This window comes from Homo sapiens, chromosome 14 (genome assembly GCF_000001405.40).
Source record: "Homo sapiens chromosome 14, GRCh38.p14 Primary Assembly".
NCBI lineage: Eukaryota > Metazoa > Chordata > Mammalia > Primates > Hominidae > Homo > Homo sapiens.
Genome location: NC_000014.9, coordinates 42,234,260 through 42,236,969, shown reverse-complemented (window position 1 = coordinate 42,236,969; position 2,710 = coordinate 42,234,260).

Genomic DNA, 2,710 nt, shown 5'->3' with positions numbered 1-2,710 from the left:
CAGAAATACAAAAAATACTATTACAAATACTTCCATACACACAATCTAGAAAACCTAGAAGAAATAGATAAATGTCTGGAAACATACAACCTCCCAAGATTGGACCAGGAAGAAATTAAAAGCCTAAACAAACCAGTAACAAGTTTCCAATGTGCATCAGTAATAAAAACCTATGAATGAGAAAAAAGCCACAGACAATATGGATTCACAGCTAAATTATACCAGACATATAAAGAAGAGCTGATGCCAATCACACTAAAATTATTCCAAAAAATTTAGGAGTAGAGGCTCCTCACTAACACATTCTATCAGGCCAGCATCATTCTGATATCGAAACCTGGCAGAGATAAAATGAGAAAAAGAAAACTTAGCCAATATCCCTGATGAATGTAACTGCAAAAATCCTCAACAAAACACTAGAAAACTGTATTCAGCAGCACATCAAAAAGTTAATTTGCCATGATCTAGTAGGATTTATTACTAGGATGCAAGATTGGTTCAACATACGCAGATCAATAAATGTGCTTCATGACATAAACAGAGTTAAAAACAAATACCATGTAATTATCTCAATAGACATAGAAAAGGCCTTTGATAAAACTCAACATTATTACTGAATCATTCACTATATTAAAGAAATATTACATTATTACATTGATCTTTCTCTTTTGATAGCCTTGCTAACCTTTCAAATTCAGTCTCTTCAGAATAATGGTCTAAACCCTCTGCTATGGGCTGAGTTGTGTTCCCCCTCAAATTTATTGAAGTTCTAACTCCCAGTATCTTACAATGTGACTGTATTTGAAGAAAGGGCCTTTAAATAAGTAATTAAGAATGCAGGGATGGGGTCACTTGATGAGACCAGATCGGTTGGGGAGACCCTAACCCAGCGGGGCTAGAGGAATTAAAGACACAGAAATATAGAGGTGTGGAGTGGGAAATCATGGGTCTCACAGCCTTCAGAGCTGAGAGCCTCGAACAGAGATTTACCCACATATTTATTTACAGCAAGCCAGTGATATGTATTGTTTCTATAGATTATAGATTAGAAGTATTCCTTATGGGAAACAAAGGGATGGGCTGAAATAAAGGGATGGGTCTGGCTAGGTAACTGCAGCAGGAGCATGTCCTTAAGGCGCAGATTGCTCATGCTATTGTTTGTGGTTTAAGAACGCCTTTAAGCGGTTTTCCGCCCTGGGTAGGCCAGGTGTTCCTTGCCCTCATTCTGGTAAACCCACAACCTTCCAGCGTGGGCATCATGGCCATCATGAACATGTCACAGTGCTGCAGAGATTTAGCTTATGGCCAGTTTCAGGGCCCGTTTATGGCCAGATTTTGGGGGGCCTGTTCCCAATAGTCACTAACTACACAGTGGGTCTAGAAGGCAGGGCTCAGAGGTACAGAGCATTGAGTGAGAGAGGATTCTTTTTGCAACTTAAAATCTAATGGAGTTATCCCTGCTAGTTTCAGACTTGTCTGGGACTAATGATCTCTTCGTTTTTTATAATTTCTCCCTTTTGGAATAAGAATGTCTATCCTATGTCTGTTGTACCACCATATTTTGGAAACAGATAACTTGTCATATTCCACAAGTTCACAGCTGTAGAGAATTTTGCCTCTAGAAATATCATACTTCTAGTCTTACCCATAGCTAACGTAAAAATTGTTTATTATTTATTCTGAGGTGGAGTCTCACTCTGTTGCCCAGGCTGGAGTGCAGTGGCACAATCTCAGCTCACTGCAACCTCCGCCTCCCAGGTTCAAGTGATTCTCCTGCCTCAGCCTCCCGAGTAGCTGGGACTACAGCCATCCATCACCACGCCCAGCTAATTTTTGTATTTATAGTAGAGACAGGGTTTCACCATGTTGGCCAGGATGGTCTCAATCTCCTGACCTCGTGATCTGCCCACCTTGGCCTCCCAAAGTGCTGGGATTACAAGCATGAGCCACTGCGTACAGCTAAAAATTGTACACTTAAATGAGATTTTGGACATAGGGTAAAGCTGGAATGGGTTGAGGCTTTGGGGACTATTGGGATTGGGTGAATATATTTTGTATGCAAGAAGGACATGAAGCTTGGGATGGGGGGCAGACAGAGGATGGAATGTAACAGGCTAAATTATTTTCTACCAAAATTTACATGTTGGGATCCTAGTCCCTAGTATCTTAGAATGTGACCGTATGTGGAGACAGGGTCTTTAAATAAGTAATTAAGTTAAAATAAGAAAATTAGAGCAGACCCTCCCTATTCCAATATGATACATGCTGTTATAAGAAAAGAAAGTGTGGGGGTGGGGAAGAGAATTAGGAAAAATAGCTAATGCATGCTGGGCTTAATAACTAGGTGAAGGGTTGATAGGTGCAGCAAACCATCATGGCATATGTTTACCTACATAACAAAACTGAACATCCTGTTCAGCACGTACCCTGGAACTTAAAATAAAAATAAAATTTTTAAAAAAATTATTATCCAAATGTTAAAAAAAAGAGAAAGTTAAGACATGGAAGATACACAGAGGAAAGCCATGTGAAGACAAAGAGAAGATGGCCATGCGAAGACACAGAGAGAAGATGATCATCTACAAGCCAGGGAGAGATCTCAGAATGATCAATCAACCCTGTTGATACCTTGACCTTGGACTTCTAGCTTCCAGAACTGGAGGAAATATGTTTCTACTATTTAATCCATCCACTTTATGGTACTTTGTTA